Source organism: Homo sapiens, chromosome 6, assembly GCF_000001405.40.
Source record: "Homo sapiens chromosome 6, GRCh38.p14 Primary Assembly".
NCBI lineage: Eukaryota > Metazoa > Chordata > Mammalia > Primates > Hominidae > Homo > Homo sapiens.
The window spans coordinates 136,666,191-136,686,432 of record NC_000006.12 but is presented as its reverse complement, the minus strand read 5'-3'; the positions used below and the strand labels follow the sequence as shown (position 1 = coordinate 136,686,432).

The window sequence follows — 20,242 nt, the reverse complement described above, 5'->3', positions numbered from 1 at the left end:
CCTGATTGCCCTGGCCGTAACTTCCAATACTATGTTGAATAGGAGTGGTGAGAGAGGCCGTCCTTGTCTTCTACTGCTTTTCAAAGGGAATGCTTCCAGCTTTTGCCCATTCAGTATGATATTGCTTGTAGGTTTGTCATAAATACCTCTTATTATTTTGAGATACATTCCATCAATACCTAGTTTATGAGCTCAAAGACTTCTAATGGGACAGTCTTCAGGAGTTGATCTTGCACATGACACTTACTGATTTATTTAGTAATGTAAGAATGCCACTTTTACTGTAGAGGACCTATCCATAACCTGCCATTATTGTCATTATATCCATTTGTCCTATTTAACACTAAAAGGGAGCCCCCACTCCCCAATCTTAAAATGGATGCCTTTTCATGCTCTTGCTTATAAAGCTATTTTGGTATTTCTTAGTGTTTTGTCCAGTTTCCGCTGTAGTGCAAACATAGTCTTATTTCTGTTGGCCTTGTCCCCAACCTCCCTTTCTGTTGGAGCTAAGAAGGAAACCTGCCCTGTCAAGGTGCTCACAGGGAGGAGGGCTGCTGAGGTTGTCAGGCATCTGGCCAGATATACCCAGGATTATGCCCCTCATTAGTCATGGGTCCCAAAGGGATGTTTCAACTGACCCTTGTTTTTTTCTTTTGAGTCATAATCCTCTGGGTTTTCATTTCTTAAATGCTGTTGCTGGCATAAGGAGTGAGGTGTTAGGGCAGGTAGTCAGTCCCTCAGGCTTCTTTCCATGGACTGAATCATTTTCTGTTGACTTGAATAAACAGTAAGCCACTGATCATGGAAAGTTTAAGGATAAGAGTTCCAACTCAATGGAAAGAGAACCCAAGCAGTTGTGATTACAATGGCTCATCGAACTCTTTCTGCAATTCTCTTTTTTAATAATATTAATAAATGTTCCTGACCCACAGTGGAGGGAGGAAGTTTTACTCTCCTGGGCATATTATCTGATTCAAGTACTAAATGGCAGCGTTTTAGTGCTACAGAGAGTCTCTAATGTGATCTATTTTCCGATAGCTTTAGTTGTGGGTTCAGAATGTGAAAACAGAAAATAGGGGGAAAATGGTTTAGATTATTATTATTATTATTGTTTTAGAGCAGGATCTTGCTCTGTCATCCAGGCTCAAGTGCAGGGGTACAATCTTGGCTCACTGCAGCCTTGAACTCCTGGGTTCAAGCAATCCTCCTGTCTCAGCCTGCTGAGTAGCTGGGACTACAGGCGCGTGCCACCATGCCCAGCTACTTTTTGTATTTTTTTTTTTGCAGAGACAAGGTTTCCCTATGTTGCCCAGGCTGATCCTGAACTCCTGGGCTCCAGATCCACCTGCCTCACCTCCCAAAGTGCTGGGATTACAGGCGTGAGCCACCGCGCCTGGCTGGTTTAGATTTTTCTAAGTGTGCTGAATTACAGTATATTGTTGCAACAAACTGTGATTCTTGACTCTTATGTGAGACAGAGAGTGAATGGTTTGAATGAATACATCCTAATTTAAGCATTAAAAACATAGTTCTCTAACATTTGATGTTTTGCATTGTCATTTCCTTAGTTATTTTTGTTCATCCCAGCTCTTGAGAATGGCTGAAATAATGCAATTTGTATTTAAAAGGCTGTGGCATTTTTCTCATAGCTTTTCAATATAAAGATTTAAATCAGTTAAAGGCAGCAGTGGTGCCCGTCACATGCTAGTTAGAGGACAACTTGGGCTGCAGGAGAAGGAGCAAGATGACAGCAGAGAGGGTGAGAAGCTGGGAGGAGAGCCAGCTTTCAAGGGGTGAGAATTTGTGACTAAAGAGCTGAGACTTACATCCTAAAAAACAGCCATCAAGTTTCTGAAGTGGCAAACTTAACCCCTGGAGATGATCCAAGGAAGTGTTAGGGACAAATCACCATGCCTTAGAGGACCACAGAAGTTCTCATTGCCAGATTATCTCCACATTTTCTTTTTTAAGCAAATCTAAAAAGAAATAACCATGAAATGGTTATGCTGAATTCCTATGCAGTATGACTTATTTAGAAAATTTTGTTATATGCAGTATTTGCTCACATAGGTAGAAATATTAATAATAATTGAGCCCTTAACCCTTAGAGTTCACACAACGTTTCTGTGCATGTTACTAATGAGGGAGGCTTACAGGAACCTTGTGAAGTAGGCAAGGCTGACATTTTTCTTCCTTTTTTTTTTAAAAAAAAAATTGAGATAGGGTCTCATTCTGTCGCCCAGTGCAGATCACAGCTCGCTGCAGCCCTGAACTCCTGGGCTCAAGTGATCCTCCCACTTCAGCCTCCCAAGTAGCTGGGACCACAGGTGTATGCCGCCATGCCTGGCTCATTTTTTATTTTTTGTAGAGATGGGATCTCGCTATGTGGCCCAGGCTAGTCTCAAATACCTGGAGCAAAGTGATACTAACACCCCAGCTTCCCAAAGTGCTGGGATTACAGATGGGAGCCACCACACCTGGTCACTTCTTCCCATTTTGCAACTGATGAAATTAAAAATCAAAGAACTCCAGTGAATTTCGTGTTGCCCTGTGATTAATAAAATTTCAGATCTTATTTTTTCAGATCCAGTGTTGTTTTTACTGTATCCTAGGCCCTCCTTCCTGAAGTTTCCAGGAATAGACATTTCCAGAAATGTCTAGATTTCAGTTTTGTTGAAGAAGTATGAACTAATGGGAGACTCACAAGGGATCAGTGTTTACACAATACTTGGAAACAGTGTGATCTTGGGCAAATTACCCTTAGAATATTCTGTTTTATTACTTAAAAAAAATTAACACTTGCGTAGATGAGTTAGAATGCTCTTGGCATATTGCAAGTAGCAGAACACCTTACTCCAATGGATTTAATCATAAGAAAGTGTATCTCCTAAAACATGAAGTTCAGAAGTAGGACTGGCTCAAGTGCAGGTTGAACCAGCAGCTGAAAGACATCAGTCAGGTCCTTTTTCTTGCTATGGCCATGGGTGGCTTTGACCTTGGGCTGCCCCTACTCGGGATTGCAAGATGGCTATGGCCATTCCAAGACCAACCCAGATTAGCTGCACCAGTGTCGAGGGGAACTGAGGCAATGTTTTCCTGTATCTTTCTCTTAGGACTGAGAAAACATGCTTGTAAAAACTTACTCCAGACTTTCTTTATGCCTTCATGCTTCTAGTATTTCATCAGCCTCAAACTACACAAATCACTAGCAAAGAGGATGGGATTATTACAACCGGTTTAGACTAACCTCTTTGGGATGAGTGCTTTGTTGTGAGGATTAAATGAAACAACATATGTTAAAGTCCTGAAATTTAGTAAGCCTTTAGTGTTATATCCTTGGTGTTAATACATCTTTAGTGAATAATTTTGTATTTTTTTCTGCTCCCCCGCCATTTTGTATGTCTTTACATATTTGATATATTTATCCATGTTCAAAATGGACATTGACTATATTAAATTTCCCTTGTTCTAAAATATTTCTAAAAGTCTTTTTTTTTCTTTCTGGATGTAGCTAAACATTTTAGCTAATGAGGGAAAATGTATAGAGTCTGCATAATTTTTACACAGGCCCTGTCTGAATTTCATATATCAGGGCTATTGTGGCACCATGTAGGATAGGCAGTACTTGCCTGAAATCACATTTGATTTTGGAGAAAACGGTGTTCTCATTCTTAAGGGAAGATATGAAGTCATTTTGAGAACTCTGAAAGGAAATTAGGTGCTTGTACTGTATTAGCATAATCATGTCTTTCTTGTTATAATGCCAAAAAAGATCCATAGCCAGGAAATTAAAAGCATTAAGTCTGTTTTTAGCATTAATATGTTCATTTTTCCATAGTAACTTGGGGAAGAACAGCGAGCCTGGCCTTATCAACTAGTTTTCTTTTACGTCAGTGACAGTGCTATTCAAACAGTAATGTGTGCCTAATAAAGATTTAGTTTTTACATTATTAATGGGGTTGGCTCTACTTTGGAAGAGTTATATAACAAACTAATCAACAGACAAATAAAGACCAATGTCAATTTTCCATTTGCCAGATTAGCCTTGTTTCCTTTGTCTTGGCTTCGAGTTATGTTTCTCAGTGTTCTCTTCATTTTTACCACCCTCCTTCCCCCTCTCTCCCCACCTCCAGAGTTTTATCTCACTGTTGTTGCATTAACATTATTTTTGCTTAGTCCTTTATTGTGTCTATTATATGAGTCCCCAAATTTTGGATGATTTTTATTTTTAGAACACAAGGCCTGAAAAGTTTTTAGTAACTCAGCATGACACCAGCTCATTGGTGACCAGATAGATGTACAGGATTCCTAAGGGATCGCTAGTTCCAGGATGACCTAGGAACTTGGGTAAAACACACAGTGTGTCCATAGCTGCTTTGTAAACAAGTGCCCTGGAACATTGGTCTCATGCTTTGACCTTGATTTAATACCACATTCAGCAGATGATGGATTGGATGAAGCTGTGTTATGGCATGACCAAGTTGAGGTCTAAGAATTCATAATTTTTTTTTTTTAAAACAGAGTCTTGCTCTGTTGCCCAGGCTGGAGTGCAATGGCACGATCTTGGCTCACTGCAAGCTCTGCCTCCCAGGTTCACGCCATTCTCCTGCCTCAGCCTCCCAAGTAGCTGGGACTACAGGCGCCCGCCACCACACCCGGCTAATTTTTGTTTGTATTTTTAGTAGAGACGGAGTTTCACCATGTTAGCCAGGATGGCCTCGATCTCCTGACCTCGTGATCTGCCCACCTTGGCCTCCCAAAGTGCTGGGATTACAGGCGTTTCGTTTTGCTTTGTTTTTTGAGACAAGGTCTCGCTCTGTCACCTAGGCTGGAGTGCAGGGGTGTGATCATGGCTCACTGCAGCCTCAACCTCCTGGGTTCAAACTGTCCTCCTGCCTCGGCCTCTGAAGTATCCATGACTACTGATGTGCACCACCACTCAGCTAATTTTTCAAATTTTTTCTAGAGATGGGGTCTCACTGTGTTGCCCAGGATGATCTTGAACACTTGGGCTCAAGTGATCCTCCTTCCTCAGCCTTCCAGATTTCTGGGATTACAGTCGTGAACCATTGCACATGGCCAGAATAAGAGTATTTACTATGTCTCTGTAGAGGTCTCCTAATTGACTAACAAAGATGGAGCACCTAAGGAGAGAAACTAAGGCTTGCTTTATGTAATTCAGTTATTAGAGAAATGAGTGAGAGAACTAGATATTTGCCAGGCATTATACTGAAAAGGAAGGAGAATATGGAAGAATAGGAGTGATTTCACTTAGTGAACCAAAGCGATTGTTTGCAAATCTGGCTGAGAACATCAGAATTGCTTAGGGAATTTTTTAACAATGTGAAATTGTTTGCCCTGGAAGATTCTGCTTTCGTGGTTCCATCTGACAGCATAGATTAATCATAATAGGTTAATGTGACTATTCCCCTTGCATGAAATATTTAGATTTTCCCCATATTTGCTGTCACTCCCTTCCTCCTAAATCTTTACTGTTCTTCATAGCCTCCAAGATTAAATCTACACCCCCAGCCCCGCCCCTTCCTCCCCTGCAGAGCTCTTCCAAGGGTATCTCTTCCCATCTTTCCAGCCTTCTCAGAATATGGGTTTGCATTGTTGTTTAAAGAATTGGGGCAGTTATTGCAAGAGTAAGTGTACATATGAAAACTATTCACCCTTAAGAGTAATCAAATTTGAGCTATTCTTTTTTGTTGTAATCAATTGGCAAAGATGAGAAGAGATGAGAATAATTTATTTTTGCATGGGTACACTGTAAAAGTCACTCTCCTACACTGCTCTTGAGAATGTGAATTGGTAAAGACCTTTCTGGAAAGCAGTTTGGTATTGTGCATCAAGAGCTTTGAAATAATTCATGTTCTTTGATCCAGTTCTGTCACTGGGAAACTATCCTAAAGAAATGGTAGATATGGAAACAAAGATCTGCAATGGTGTTCATGACACTGAACTTTATGGTAACAAAAAATTGGAAGAAATCTAAATATCCAAAAATAGATAAGTTGTTAAGCAAAGGATCACGTTTCCAAAGGATGGAATATCATTTATTCAAAATTTGGTGGTAAAATATATATAACATAAAATTTACTCTTTTAACCATTTTAAGTGTACAGTTCAGTGGCATTAAGTACATTCATATTGTTATGCAACCATCATCACCATCCATCCACAGAAAATTTTTTCATCTTGCATGACTAAAAGTCTGTATCTGTTAGACAACAGTTGCCCATTCTCTCCTTCCGCCGGCCCTGGGCACCACCATTACTTTCTGTCTTTCTATAAATCTCTCTGAATTTGACTACTCTAGGTACCTCATGTAAGTGGTATTATATTTGCTTTGGGTTTTGTGTGTGTGTGTGTGTGTGTGGCTAGCTTATTTTGCTAAGCATAAGGCCCTCAAATCTTCCTCTGCATTGTAGCATATGTCTGAATTTTCTTCCTTTGTAAGGTTGAATAATAATTGTGTTGTATGTATATACCACATTTTGTTTATCCATTCATCTCTTGATGGACATTTAAATCGTTTCCAACTTTTTTGGCTATTGTAAATGATGCTACTTTAAACATTGGTGTATAAATATCTCTTTAAGGTTCTACTTTTAATTATTTTAAGTATATACCCAGAAGAAAATTGTGGTTTTGAAAAATGTTTAATAGTAACATGCGTCATGATATTTCATCAATTAAACAGCAGATCATAAAAATAGGGTGATTCTCTTTTTTTGGAAAAAAAATATGTGCGTGGTAAAAGGACTGGAAAAACACAGTTAGAACTTGGGGTTCTTTTATTTTTGTTCCTGAGTTTTCTATTATAACAAGATATGTACACAAATAAGTAGTCTGAATTGGAGGGTTATACCCCCACCAGCAGATCACAGCAGCAGGGTGATTCAGCATTAGTTTCTTCACATGCTGTCCTGCTTTGTTTCTGAGTTATTTTATGAGTGTTAATTTCAGAAATATCCCTAGAGATAAAAAAAAACATGAAATTCTAATTAAATTACCTTTGTGTCTCATAGAAAGAATCACAACTGTTATATCACAAACAAGGAAAAATAGCAAGAACTTGACTTGAGCTCAGTGTCTTCTTTGTTGGAAAGTACATATTCCAGCTAGAAATGATCAGTCCAAGAATATTTCCTTTATTTTTGATTTCTGTTGAATGTCTCAGTGCGGATGCAAAAAGTGAAAAGTCTTTTTTTGTGAAGACTTCATCACTCTATATCAAAGACTTAACTGCTTTTAAGCTAGTTTGCAATCAGGTGACAAATACAGTACTAATCATAAGGCAATTCTGGAACAAAAACCTATTGCTTTGAAAGCTCAAAAGAGAAGTTTACATCTTTTAAATGAAATAATGAATTAAATAGTGCAAATTATTTGCCCCCTTTTGGCTGGGTGCAGTGGCTCATGCCTGTAATCGCAGCACTTCGGGAGGCCGAGGCATGTGGATCACCTGAGGTCAGGAGTTTGAGATCAGTCTGGCCAACATGGTGAAACCCCATCTCTACTAAAAATACAAAAATTACCTGGGTGTGGTGGCACATGGCTGTAGTCCCAGCTACTCGGGAGGCTGAGGCAGGAGAATTGCTTGAACCTGGGAGGCGGTGGTTACAGTGAGCCAAGATAGCGCCATTGCACTCTAGCCTGGACGACAGAGCGAGACTCCATCTCAAGAAGAAAAAAAAAATTATTTGCCCCCTTTCAACAAATATTTAGTGCTAAAATAAAAAAAAAATCAACAGGAGTGGAAATAACTTCGTATGGTTACTCAAAGATAGCCACTAAATTTCTCTTAATATGTAAATGTATAGTTCTCTAAGATTTATTTCCTTCTTAAAGTCTTACCCAATTTAGCTTCATCATTTTATTTCTCTATCTTTATAGATAGTTTTGCACTTTTAATCATTGTTTAGATTTCTTTATGTATAGATTTACATATTGTTCATATTTATGTATCCTTTTGCTAAACTGTGACATTCTCAGCATTATAAAACTCGTTTGGTGTGTTTTTATGGGTGCATTTCAGCAGTACTGCCATGTAAGTCTTTTTGAAATATTAGTCTTTTGTTTTATGAGAGTGATCAAATATATTGTGAAAAATACCATTTTTTTCTTAGAATATATCAGCATCTGTTTCTGTTGTATATAGAATACAAGTTTTATCCTTAATATAAAAGCAATACAAGCTTTATCCTTAATATAAAAGCAATATTTATTTTTCCTGTTTAATTCAACTCCCTTTTATTAAAAACAAAAATAAAAAAAACCCAGAAAATAATGAAAAAGAACTACAAAAATTGTTAGTACAAACCAAAGGGTAGGCAGAGCCATACAAAGAAAAGGGCCTAGGCTTATGGAATCCAGCAGAACTGGGTAGAGTTCCTGCTTGACCACTTCCACACTGCATAACTTAATATTCCTGTGCTTCAATTTCCTTGTTGGTAAGGAATTCCCCCTACTTTAAAGAGTTGTCAGAATTAGAAGTATTATGCCTGAAATGTCTCATTCAATGCCTTGTACCTGGTAGGTGCTCAGTAAGCAGAGGCAGGTACTATAGATTCTTTTACCATTTGATGTTAATCACAGCTTTCTTTGATAGAGACCGTCATCTATGCTGTTGTATTATTGTTAGAACTACACTGTCCTCATTTGTAGGAAGATTAAATATTCCCACCCTTGACACCAGACTTGGTTGTGTGTCTTGATTGATGTGCATTCTAAGCAGAAGCTTTGAGAGCAATTTTGTGATTGTACCACATGTACTTTTTCCTTGGCCATTTCCATGAGAAGGCTGCTCCTTCAGGCTGGATCCCAGATGGAAGACAATGTGGAGCAGAGCTGAACCATGACACAGAGTTCATGACACAGACATGTGGCATGAACAGGAGTTGCAAGCCACTGGGATTTGCAAGTTGTTTGATACTGTAACACTCTTACCCTAAAATGTCTGAGATAGCATCTTCAGTTAAAGTGGAGATTGCCAGGTACGGTGGCCCACGCCTGTAATCCCTGCACTTTGGGAGGCCAAGGCAGGCAGATCACGAGGTCAAGAGATCGAGACCATCCTGGTTAACACGGTGAAACCCTGTCTCTACTAAAAATGCAAAAAATTAGCCGGGCGTGGTGGCGGGCACCTGTAGTCCCAGCTACTTGGGAGGCTGAGGCAGGAGAATGGCATGAACCTGGGAGGCAGAGCTTGCAGTGAGCCGAGATTGCGCCACTACACTCCAGCCTGAGCAACAGAGCGACACTCTGCCTCAAAAAAAAAAAAAAAAAAAAAAATGGATATCATCATTATTTTAACATCTACAAAACCAACAAAATGAGCCGGGCACAGTGGCTCATGCCTGTAATCCCAGCACTTTGGGAAGCTGAGGCAGGTGGATCACAAGGTCAGGAGTTCGAGACCAGCCTGATCAACACAGTGAAACCTTGTCTCTACTAAAAATACAAAAATTAGCTGGGCGTGGTGGCGTGCACCTGTAATCCCAGCTACTCGGGAGGCTGAGGCAGGAGAATCACTTGAACCCAGGAGGCGGAGGTTGCAGCAAGCTGAGATCGCACCACTGAACTCCAGCCTGGATGACAGAGTGAGACTCTGTCTCAAAAAAAAAAAAAAAAGAAAAGAAAAGAAAAATTAACAAAATGATAAAATACATATGAAAGTTAACACAAAGAAATTAGAGAATGTAAATATGGCAATAATAAGTATCAACATGCTTGCTATGACTAAGCTTCAAGCCAATATGCTTTTTAGTGATAGAATGAAAAAAAAAATCATATACCAATTCTTCAGAGGAAGTTAAACTCTCCCTAGCAGTAAATTAAAGGAATTTCTCATGACAGACCCTGTGTAAATAAAATCTACATAAACAACAATCAATAAAAGCTATATAAACAACATCAGTATTTTTATTGAAGTCGTGAACTCCAGTAACATTAAGATGTAACACAGTGAATAATGTAACACAGTGAAAGTGATATGCAATTCACTTGTTTAAGGTGGTCCAAGGATGTAGTTTCTAGTAATATAGTTTTATCAAGATCAGAGTTTAGATCACTGAAGGAAGTTAAAAGATTATTTGTATCTTGTATGAACTGACGTATTTACCAGTTATCTCAGCCTGGTTCTTGGTAGGAAGTGGATGCATTCTTTCTTCATTTCACAAGTATTTCATAATCACCTGCAGCGTGTCAGGTATTCTGATGATTCAAGTACCGGAGATTCATTGGTCAGCAAGGCTGTTAAGGTTCCTGCTCTTATGGAGCTTACATTCTCTTGGAGCAGATAGACAACAAAAAGAAGAATTTCAGATTATTATAAATTCTGTTAACAGATATGGAGCAATTCAGAGTCTCCATTTTTTCCTTGTGTCATGCTTACATGTGATTTTAAGAAATTTTTTCATTTTACCCATGTTGTTATATTTATTGGCATAAAGTTGTTCCAAATGTCCTTTGCTTTTAATGCTCTATCATCTGTACGGATGACCGTCTTTTTGTTTATGAGGGCTTAGCGTTAATTTTTATTTCTCTCTCTTTCATGAGAAGTCTGCCTAGGAGTTTATCAACTTTATTAATTTTTGTAAAGAACCACATTTTGACACTATTTTCTTTATTGCATGTTTGCTTTTTATTTCACTGATTTCAGCTTTCTTTATTATACCCTTCTACTTTGAAGATGATATGCTGTTCGTTTACTAGATGAAAGCTTGGAGCATTGATTTTCAACCTTGCTCCTTTTCCAATATCTACATTTAAAGGTATAATTTGTTCTGCATCCCAGACATTTTATCTATTAGACTTTCATTACCTTATATATAACAACATATATATATTGTTCAGTTTAAATACCTTCTAATTTTCAGTATGATTTCTTCTTTGACCTTTGGGTTATGAACTGAGTTGCCCAATTTCCAAATATATCTTTCTTTATTGTTCTGTGGTTTAATTATATTATGGTGAGAGAACACATTTTTCATTATTTCAGTCCTTTGAAATTTGTTGAGAAGTACTTTACGGCCCAGAATATGGTACACAGTTGTTAGGTGTAGTGTTCCAGGTAAGTCAGTTAGATGAACTTGGCTAATAATGTTATTCAAATCTATATCCTCACTGATAATTTTTGTCTGTTTGTTTGATCATCACTGAGAAAGTGTTTTAAGATCTCTACCTATGATTGTAGATTTCTATATCTGCTTTTTTAGTTCTGTGCATTTTTTTCTGTATATGTTTTGAAGCCATGCTATTAGGTACATTTGGGACTGTTATATTTTCCTATTGAATTTACCTCTTTATCATTATGAAACGTTCCTTTTTTCTCTTATAATAATTTTTATCTTAAAGTCAATTTTGTCTGATATTAATATATAATGATAACATTTATTTAATATTTGGATGGTACATCTTTATGCATCATTTCACTTTCAACCTACCTGTGTCCTAATACTTAAGTATCTTTTCTATATAAAATGCTTGGGACCAGAAGTGTTTTGGATTTTTTTTATATTTTTGAATTTGGGAATATTTGCATTATAATTGCCAGTTGAGCATCCCTAATCTGAAAATTGGAAATCAGAAATGCTCCAATGAGCATTTCCTTTGAGCATCATGTTGGCACTCAAAAAGTTTTGGATTTTGGAGCATTTTAGATTTCAGATTTTTTTATTAGGGTTACTCAACTTGTATTTACAGTGTGCCTTTTTAAAATGAATATACTTGCATTTTTTGCTGTTATTGTTCAGTCTAATTTGAAAAATCTCTTATTAGGAATGATTAGATCATTTACATTTAATGTGGCAACTGATAGTTGGGGCTATATCAATAATATTGACTATTTGTCTTATTTATTTTTTATTGGTCTTACATGTTTTTTGTTCTTTTAGTCCTCCATTCTTGCTTTATTTTTATTAACTTAGTATTACATTTTCTCCTACATTAGCACTTTAGTAATAGTTTTCATATTATTCTTTGAGTATTCCCTAGAGATTACAACCTGCATCCTCGACTTTTATAGTCTACCTTACATTTTGTATTTTACTGCTTCCTGAACAAGGAAAGAAACTTGGAGCAGTTTAAATAATCAATAGATTTTAAATAATTTTTATATTTTAGATCTAGTCACATATTTACTCTTTCTGATGCTCTTTCTTTCTGAAGTTCAGTGCTTCCAAATGAAATCACTTTCCTTTAGTCTGAAGCACTTTTAGTATTTTTTTATAGTTCAGATCTGCTGGCAACTAGTTCCCAGTTTTTGTCTGAAAATATCTTTTTTAGACTTTTTTTTTTCTTTTATTACTCTAAAGATGTCACTACGTTGTATTCTGGCTTCCATAGTTTGTACGGCAAAGTCTACTGTCAATTTTATTGCTCCTTTGAAAGTAATGTATCTTTTTTCTCTGGCTGATTTTAAAAGATTTTCCACTGTGTTTTCGGATTTTGGTAACATGTTTTGGCATTTAGACTATAATTATCTTATTTTATCCTGCTTGAGTTTTGCTGAGCTTCTTGAATCTGTGGGTTGATGTTTTCATCAGTTTTGAAATGTTTTTATCCATTATATCTCACATATTTCTTGTGCTCCATATTCTCTTTCTTCTCTTTCTGGGGCTACAGTAATACATAGGTTAGACCATTTAACTGTGTCTCCTCTGTTTCTTATGCTTTGTTGTTTTATGTGTGTGTGTTTTCTTTTTTTTTTTTTTCTATATCTCTGCTTCAGTTTAGATACCTTCTATTGACATGCATTTTAGTTCACCAAAACTGTTTTTCCACTTTGTTGAATTAACTTGTAAGCCCATACATTGAATTATTGTTTTCAGGTATTGTATGTTTTGGTGCTAGATTATGTGATTTCTTTGATGCTGATTCTTTTTTGAAGTTGTTTATATCTTTTATCCATTTTATCTTTTTCTCTATATTCTTTACCGTATTTGTCATAATTATCTTAAAGTCCTTGTCTATAAACTCCAGCATCCGAATTATCTGTAGGTCAGCTTTTGTGTGTGTTTGCTTTTGTTTATTGGTCACAACTTGCTGGCTCTTTGCATGTCTCGTATCCCAGACATTTTGTATTAAAAAACTATTGAGACTTGGAGATGATTTTATTTTCACTCACAGAGATTCTCCTTTTCCTCTGTTAGCCAGATAGGGTAAGAAGCTGATTACTTCAACAAATGCAGTTGAGTCGGGTTGGGTCTGGGTTTTCATTTTCATTGACCTTATCTGTTTCTGTTTTATCTCTGCTTCTTAGCTGTGACCCTCTTGAACTTTTAATTGATAGGCAGGCATATTTCTATCTTCTTATCCCTTAAATACTGTCGGAGATTTCTTATCTGTCCTTGAGAGTTTTGTGTTTAGCTCTTTATTCTCCAAAATTTGGTAGATTGCTTTTTTTCTTTTTCTTTTTCTTTTTTTTTTTTTTTTGAGATAGAGTCTTTCTCTGTTGCCCAGGGAGGAGGGCAGTGGTGTGATCTTGGCTCACTGCAACCTCCACCTCCGGGGTTCAAGTGATTCTCCTGCCTCAGCCTCCCGAGTAGCTGGGACTGCGGGCACACACCACCATGCCTGGCTAATTTTTATATTTTTAGTAGAAATAGGATTTCACCATGTTGGCCAGGCTGATCTTGAACTACTGACCTCAAGTGATCCGCCTACCTTGTCCTCCCAAAGGGCTGGGAGCCAGTGCACCCAGCCCAAAATGTGGTAAATTTCTTAAAGGGAAGACTTTTTTCCTATGGTTGTTGTAGACTTCTTTCCCTAGTGGGACTTTTCTCCTAAACACTCAGGAGATTTCACTCTGTCATCCCAGCTCTACTCCACACCCTAGCCTCCTGTACAACTCAGCATTCAACGAATGTCCTGTGAAGAAAACAGCAACACATTTGGGACTCCTTCGGGTTTCATTCTGTCGTGCCAAACCACGCAATTGTCAAGAAATCCACTAGTTTCTCTTTTTCTTGGTAAAGTTTAAAATAGACAGAGTTTCTCTGCCCATGCCAAGCCCAAGCCTAATCTCAGGGTCAGAATCAGCAAATGCCCCATGAAAGACAACAGCAATTCAGCTCATCTTGGAAGGCCACTTCCCTCTTTGGAGTTTATTTCAGTGATTTTTTTTGTTGCTTCCATAGATCTCCAGTGTCTGCAAAAATGTGTTTTTGATATGTATTCTTATTTCCCCCTAATTACTGAAGCAGAAGTAATGGCTCCCAAGTAGACGACTACATCTTACTTGGAAACACAAGCTTTCCCCCTCACATTTAATATTTGTCCACAATACAAATGGCTATGTAGGTTCCCAACATTTGTATAATATTTTATTCCATGTTATACTTTATAGTATTATTGGAAATTTAGGGTAATTTTTCATCTTGTAACAAATGCCCTTGTAATGAAACTTCTGATTACATGTTTAATGTTTTTTCTTGGTATAAATTTGTAAATGTATAATTGTTAAGAGTTATACATAGTTTTAAAAAATTTCTATAGTTGGCCGAGTGCAGTGGCTTACACCTGTAATCCCAGCACTTTGGGAGGCCGAGGTGGGCGGATCACCTGAGGTCTGGAGTTCGAGACCAGCCTGACTCACATGGCAAAACCCCATCTCTACTAAAAAAAAAAAAAAATACAAAAAAATTATTCGGGCATGGTGGTGCATGCCTGTAATCCGAGCTACTCGGGAGGCTGAGGCAGGAGAATCGCTTGACCCCTGGAGGCAGAGGTTCCTGTGAGCTGAGATCGTGTCACTGCGCTCCAGCCTAGGCAACAAGAGTGAAAGTCCATCTCAAAGAAACAAACAAACAAAAATTCTATAGTTTTGATATTGGCAAATTTCTGCCAAGAATACTGTACTTCTTTGCTTTTACAGTATGGGAGAATTCCCACTTCCTGCAGTGGTATACTAATGATATATGCCAGGATTTTATTTCTTTCGTAATATACCTACATGCTCTTTTAATCTCCAGAAAACATTAAGACTTTTTCCTCAATACAGTACTCAATTTAGTCTCATGGATTGAGGGGAGCTCAAGAAAAATGTGAATTATTAATTTTATTGGTGTTTATCTTTTCATTTAAAATACAAAAATATATATTGTTTGTGGTAACAGAAAAACAGATATAAACCCAAATATTCATTTAGGTTGGTTTTGGCACATAGGAGATATTCAGCCAATATTTATTGATTCATTTCGATATGTCTTCATTTTTGCATCTTCCTTTTCATATCTTTAAGAGACATTTCATGTTCTTTGGTTTCAGGGAAAATGCCATAATGTATTTAATGAAAAATATTACGTATCTTGATATGAATTGGTAGAAAGGGAAGTGTCTACTTCTTTCTTCTCCTAAATCCTTTTTTGTTGGGACATTATACTTGCCTCTGAACAAAGACAAAGAACTTTGAGACTTATGTTAGTCTAAGACCTGTAAGTTGTGACTTGCCTTGATATAGTTTCGAATATCTGTAGTCTAGGTGTATATACTTTTTTCATTTTAGAATGGAAACATGTATACTTCTGGAAACATTAAAAAATGCTTTTTAATCACCTATGGTGATGCAGTGGTACCTTTTTTCATATTCCATAGGTACATAACTATCAGAGCCAACTAGTTAAGATTCATAGTTATTTTTGCTTCCATTCAGAGATGCTTGTTCTAATTAAAGAGCAAGACATTTAAAAAAGAGACATGGTCCTCAATATTCAGAAAAATATATTTTTTGTTTTCATTTGATGTTTAATTTATTTTAAATTATGGAAAATTTTGAGTATATATAAAAGCCAAGAATATACATTTATTGTGCCTACAATATACACTATTGTGCCTATCACTATGTTTACTATTCCTGTCTTTTATTTACACAGTTATGACTTAGGTGAGAATGCTTTTATCTTGGAATTATAATGTATTTCTTCCCACATAACCTTTTTTTTTGGTGTCATCAAATGGTCATTTGTTAGATATTTAGTTCTTATATTTTCTTCAGCATGATTTTTTTAAAAATAAAAGTTTCATTTTTCATGCATTGGCCTCAGGCAGTTCCTCTTAGTCACTAGGGCATTTATTTTATTTTTCTCGTTTTACATATACCTAAGTGAAATTATATTGAATATCGTTGCCCGTTTAATGATGCATGTGAGGAAACCCTTAAAAGTATCCTAGGAAGTATTACCTTGAAAATAAAGTAAATATTCAAACACTGAAGTCCTTTTAAATATTGAAGTATTTTCAAAGGTTGATACTCGGTTTTATGCATATTCAGAAAAGTCTTTTTATAACTCTCTGAGCCAAAATTAGTATGTAGAGACATACTCTACATCTCTGCTTTTCTTAATTTCATCCTATAATTGACAGTTTATTTCATTTTTATATCATTCTTATGGAATTGATCATTTCAGTGTGTTACCTATCCTCAGTGCTCTGTATATTTTTAAGAGTTTGTAAAAACTACTTTAAAAAATATGTGCGGGGTTCTCATTTTTAAATGTTTATTGTACACACACACACACACACACACACACACACACACACCCTGAATGATGGCTTCCAAGTAGACGACTACATTTTACTTGGAAACACTAGTTTTCTTCTGACTTTTAACATGCTTCTACAACATAAATGACTACATAGCTTTCTAACATTTGGAATATATGTTATTCCATATCATACTGTATAATATTATTGGATATTTAGAGTAATTTTTCATCTTGTAACAAATGCCCTTGTAACTAAATTTTCACATTCACATATTTCTGGTAGATGGTTGAAGAGAGGATTTTTTTAAAGACTAGGGTTACTAGGTAGGTTGAGGGTGAGCTAAGCGGGGGAAAGCAACAGAGCTGTGGACAAAGATAAGCAGTTTCTGAAGCGTTAAGTCCTAATAGCACACCAGATTCTGGGGTGAAGGCCAGTGCAATATTTTTACTTGCTCAGGCATTGGAGTTATACAAACAGAAGCTATTACACACCCAGGGTTTCATGATTGAGAAAGTTAACTTGTACATTTGTGGTTTTTTATAGGTTCAAAAAGGCATTTGAATCTGAGCCAACACTACAGTCAGGAATTAATTATGCGGTCCTCCTCCTGGCAGCTGGACACCAGTTTGAATCTTCCTTTGAGCTCCGGAAAGTTGGTAATTACAACTTGATATTTTACATGGAAATCAAGAAACTGGACCCAACTTGGTGCAAAGAAAAAGAATCATGAATAGATAAATCTTTTGCTTTCTGTCTTTTCATACTTCCCAAAGAGAAAAAAGAAACTTATTATATCTCCTTGTTTGGTGTTTCATACTGTTGTACAGAATCCTGATATTAGGACATAATTCAGTTTTTAATTTATCTTACCTGTTTCTAAAAGTCCCCCTGGTTAATATTCCAGCTCAAACTAATATTGAGGATATGGGTTCTGCATTCAACCCCCAACTCCTAAATAAGGTTACTGTTTTGTGAGACATCAGGAATATTTCCTATTTTAGATTGCGCTTTTGTGGTGCTTTTTTTTCAAAAACCTCTGCTGTTTCCTTTATCTGTTTCTCAAGCACACCTTTCCCTATGATTTCACCGGTGTTGGGGGAAGAGCCTCCCAAAGCCCCAGGAGCAACAGGTTAAGCAAATGGTGGTCTTGGTAGGAAGTAGGCTCCTCAGACCATCTCTGAATCATAGCCATCGACAGAATGTGCTTTTGTCCCTTTTATCTGTAGACATTATCTCATCTGCTGCCTTTCCCTGGGAATTTAAAGAAGTTAGGGCATCTTAGTGAACAAATTTCAAGTGATTTTCTTGGTTTTGGCTTTGATCACATTTTTTAAAGATTCTAGATACTGGAATCCTGTCTATGGGAATCATATTTTGCTCCGTTGGGTGTCTAACGACCTCCTTTCAGAGAATCTTTCCAACTCTTTTAGGAATTACTACAGACATAGAAATATTCAGCCTTGTTTTTCATAGGGAAAAAATAACACGTTCATCTTAGTGAAGCTATGAATTGTAGAAGAAACTTTTTCTTCAAAATAAAAGAAAAATTTTTTTGGAAACCAGGTTTCACTCTGTCACTCAGGCAAGGGTGCAGTGGTGCGATCATAGCTCACTGCAGCCTTGAATTCTTAAGCTCAAGTGATCCTCCCACTTTGGCCTCCTAAGAAGCTGGGACTGTAGGCGTGCACCACCACAGCTGACTAATTAAAAAAATTTTTTTTTATAAAGACGTGGCCACACTATGTTGCCCAGGCTGGTCTTGAACTCCTGGCTTCAAGCAGTTCTGCCACAGCCTCCCAAAGTACTGGTATTACAGGTGTGAGCCACCGCACCGGGCCCACTTTGGCGAATTTCTTGTTACTTTTCTTAAAGAGAAATGAATCCTAGACTTTAAAAAAAAGACATTATTTTGGAAGAGCTTGTATCTTTATGTAATGTTCTGGAGAATCTCTGAAGCTAAATAAAGTCAGAATATTTATTTGTTTATTTTTTTAAATGCCCAGACTAAAAGAATGATAAAGTATTTATTACTGTGGGATAGCAGGGGTATTAAAGGCATAAAGGTCTGTTTGAAATAATTTTTTTTTTCTTCTGAGACAGGGTCTCACTCTGCTGCTCAGGGCACAATGGCACAATCACAGCTCACTGCAGCCTCGACCCCCAAGACTTAGGTGATCCTCCCACCTCAGCCTCCCGGGTAGCTGAGACTACAGGCATATACCACCACACCCGGATAATTTTTTTGTATTTTTTGTAAAGATGAGGTTTTGCCATGTTGCCCAGGCTGGTTTAGATTGTGCTTTCTTAGTGCTTTTTTCAAAAACCTCTGCTATTTTATTTATTTATTTATTTTTAAGGTTGGCTCTCACTCTGTCACCCAAGCTGGAGTGCACTGGCACGATCACGGCTCACTGCAATCTCAACCTCCTGAGCTCAGGAGATCCTTCCACCTGGGCCTCCCAAGGTGCTAGGATTGCAGGTGTGAGCCACCTTGCCCAGCCTGAAATAATTCTTTTGATTGGTTCAGTGAAATCGGAGAAGGTACATTGCAATTTGTGCTGTTCAGAAATTATGATTATAATAAAATTTTGTGTCTAAGACTAAATTAAAAACTCTATACTAGCCAAAATCCCTATATCAGTGTTCTAAAAATATTTTTATTGCTCCTTTGTTGCTTTTTTCATTGTTTTTATTGATATGCAATAGATATATATTTTTCAGTATATATGTTCTATTTTGATACAGTCATATATTTATTGTTCTGTTCTTAACTCAAGGTGAGGTTTTGTTGAAGCCTCTAAATTGTTGCAGGAATTGACAGTGATTTGCATATGTAGGCAAAGCAATGACAATGGTTTGAAAATGTACTTATTCTAAATCTCATTTTGAAGGTAAATACTTATTAAGATGGTCAGAACTCTGAGGTTTGAGGAAATGTGATTAATATGTAAAAGAAACATGTTAATTTTTTTCAGGAAGAACTCACTTGTAATACATGTTAAACAAACATTTGAAAACATACAAAGTTAGTTTAAAATTTTAGAAATTGCATAACATATACAGACTTAAAATATGGCTTATCAGTGAATTTTTAGCTATCATGAGAACTGTTTTAGGCTTCTAAAATACTGTGATATGCATTCTAAATTGTATTGTCCTTCAATAATGAAAACATAGTTAAAACTCACTAACTTAGATTCTATTCAATTGTAAATTATGCTAATCAACATAGATTGATCTAAAGTTAATTTTTATATGGTAAGAGGATTAAATGGATTTTCGAGGAAAGACAAGTTGGTTAAATAAATTAATAGTTTAATATAATAATGATGTTAATTGATAGTATATAATAAAAATGAGACAATATACTTGGCATATTTTAAAGATACACCTAGTTTCATTCTTTCTTTAAATGCTCCAATCAGCTTTTCCAGTAATTTATACCTCCCATTCCTCCTGTTGGCCTCTGCAAACATACAAATTATTCCGAATTACCGAGTTCTTATAATAACCAGACATTTACTTATGAAGTCCCTTCTTTAAGATGCTTTTTGAAATTTTGATTTATTTATAAAGGGTAAACAATTAAGATGAGCACTCAATCTGAAGCTCCCTAAATGTATTATCTTAAGATCTCAAATGTAAGAAATGATTCTTAACTGTCATGCTGTGTTGCCCAAAGACTCTTAATTCTAGTTGTGTGTTTGTTTGCGGTTATGACTAATTGCTTCATGGATCTGTGTTTTAC

General features: G+C 36.6%; 1 protein-coding gene across 10 annotated transcripts in view, besides 1 other annotated feature; it reads left to right on the top strand.

The window, feature by feature from the left end:
• The window catches only part of MAP3K5 (mitogen-activated protein kinase kinase kinase 5), a 236,046-nt gene that overhangs the window by 106,659 nt on the left and 109,145 nt on the right, over positions 1–20,242 (top strand). For all 10 annotated transcript variants that reach the window (XM_017010875.2, XM_047418784.1, NM_001438058.1 and 7 more), the window contains one exon: positions 17,038–17,150. In XM_017010875.2, coding sequence (XP_016866364.1) covers positions 17,038–17,150 — 113 coding nt within the window. The remainder of the gene's footprint in view (positions 1–17,037; positions 17,151–20,242) is intronic.
• Positions 804–973: an enhancer, noted in NCBI's record as "experimental_90326 CRE fragment used in MPRA reporter constructs". NCBI's record gives its function as "activates a minimal promoter by MPRAs in K562 erythroleukemia cells, with activity observed for both the introgressed and non-introgressed 6:137006683 variant alleles {active_cell/tissue: K562}" and the evidence as "EXISTENCE:reporter gene assay evidence [ECO:0000049][PMID:34662402]".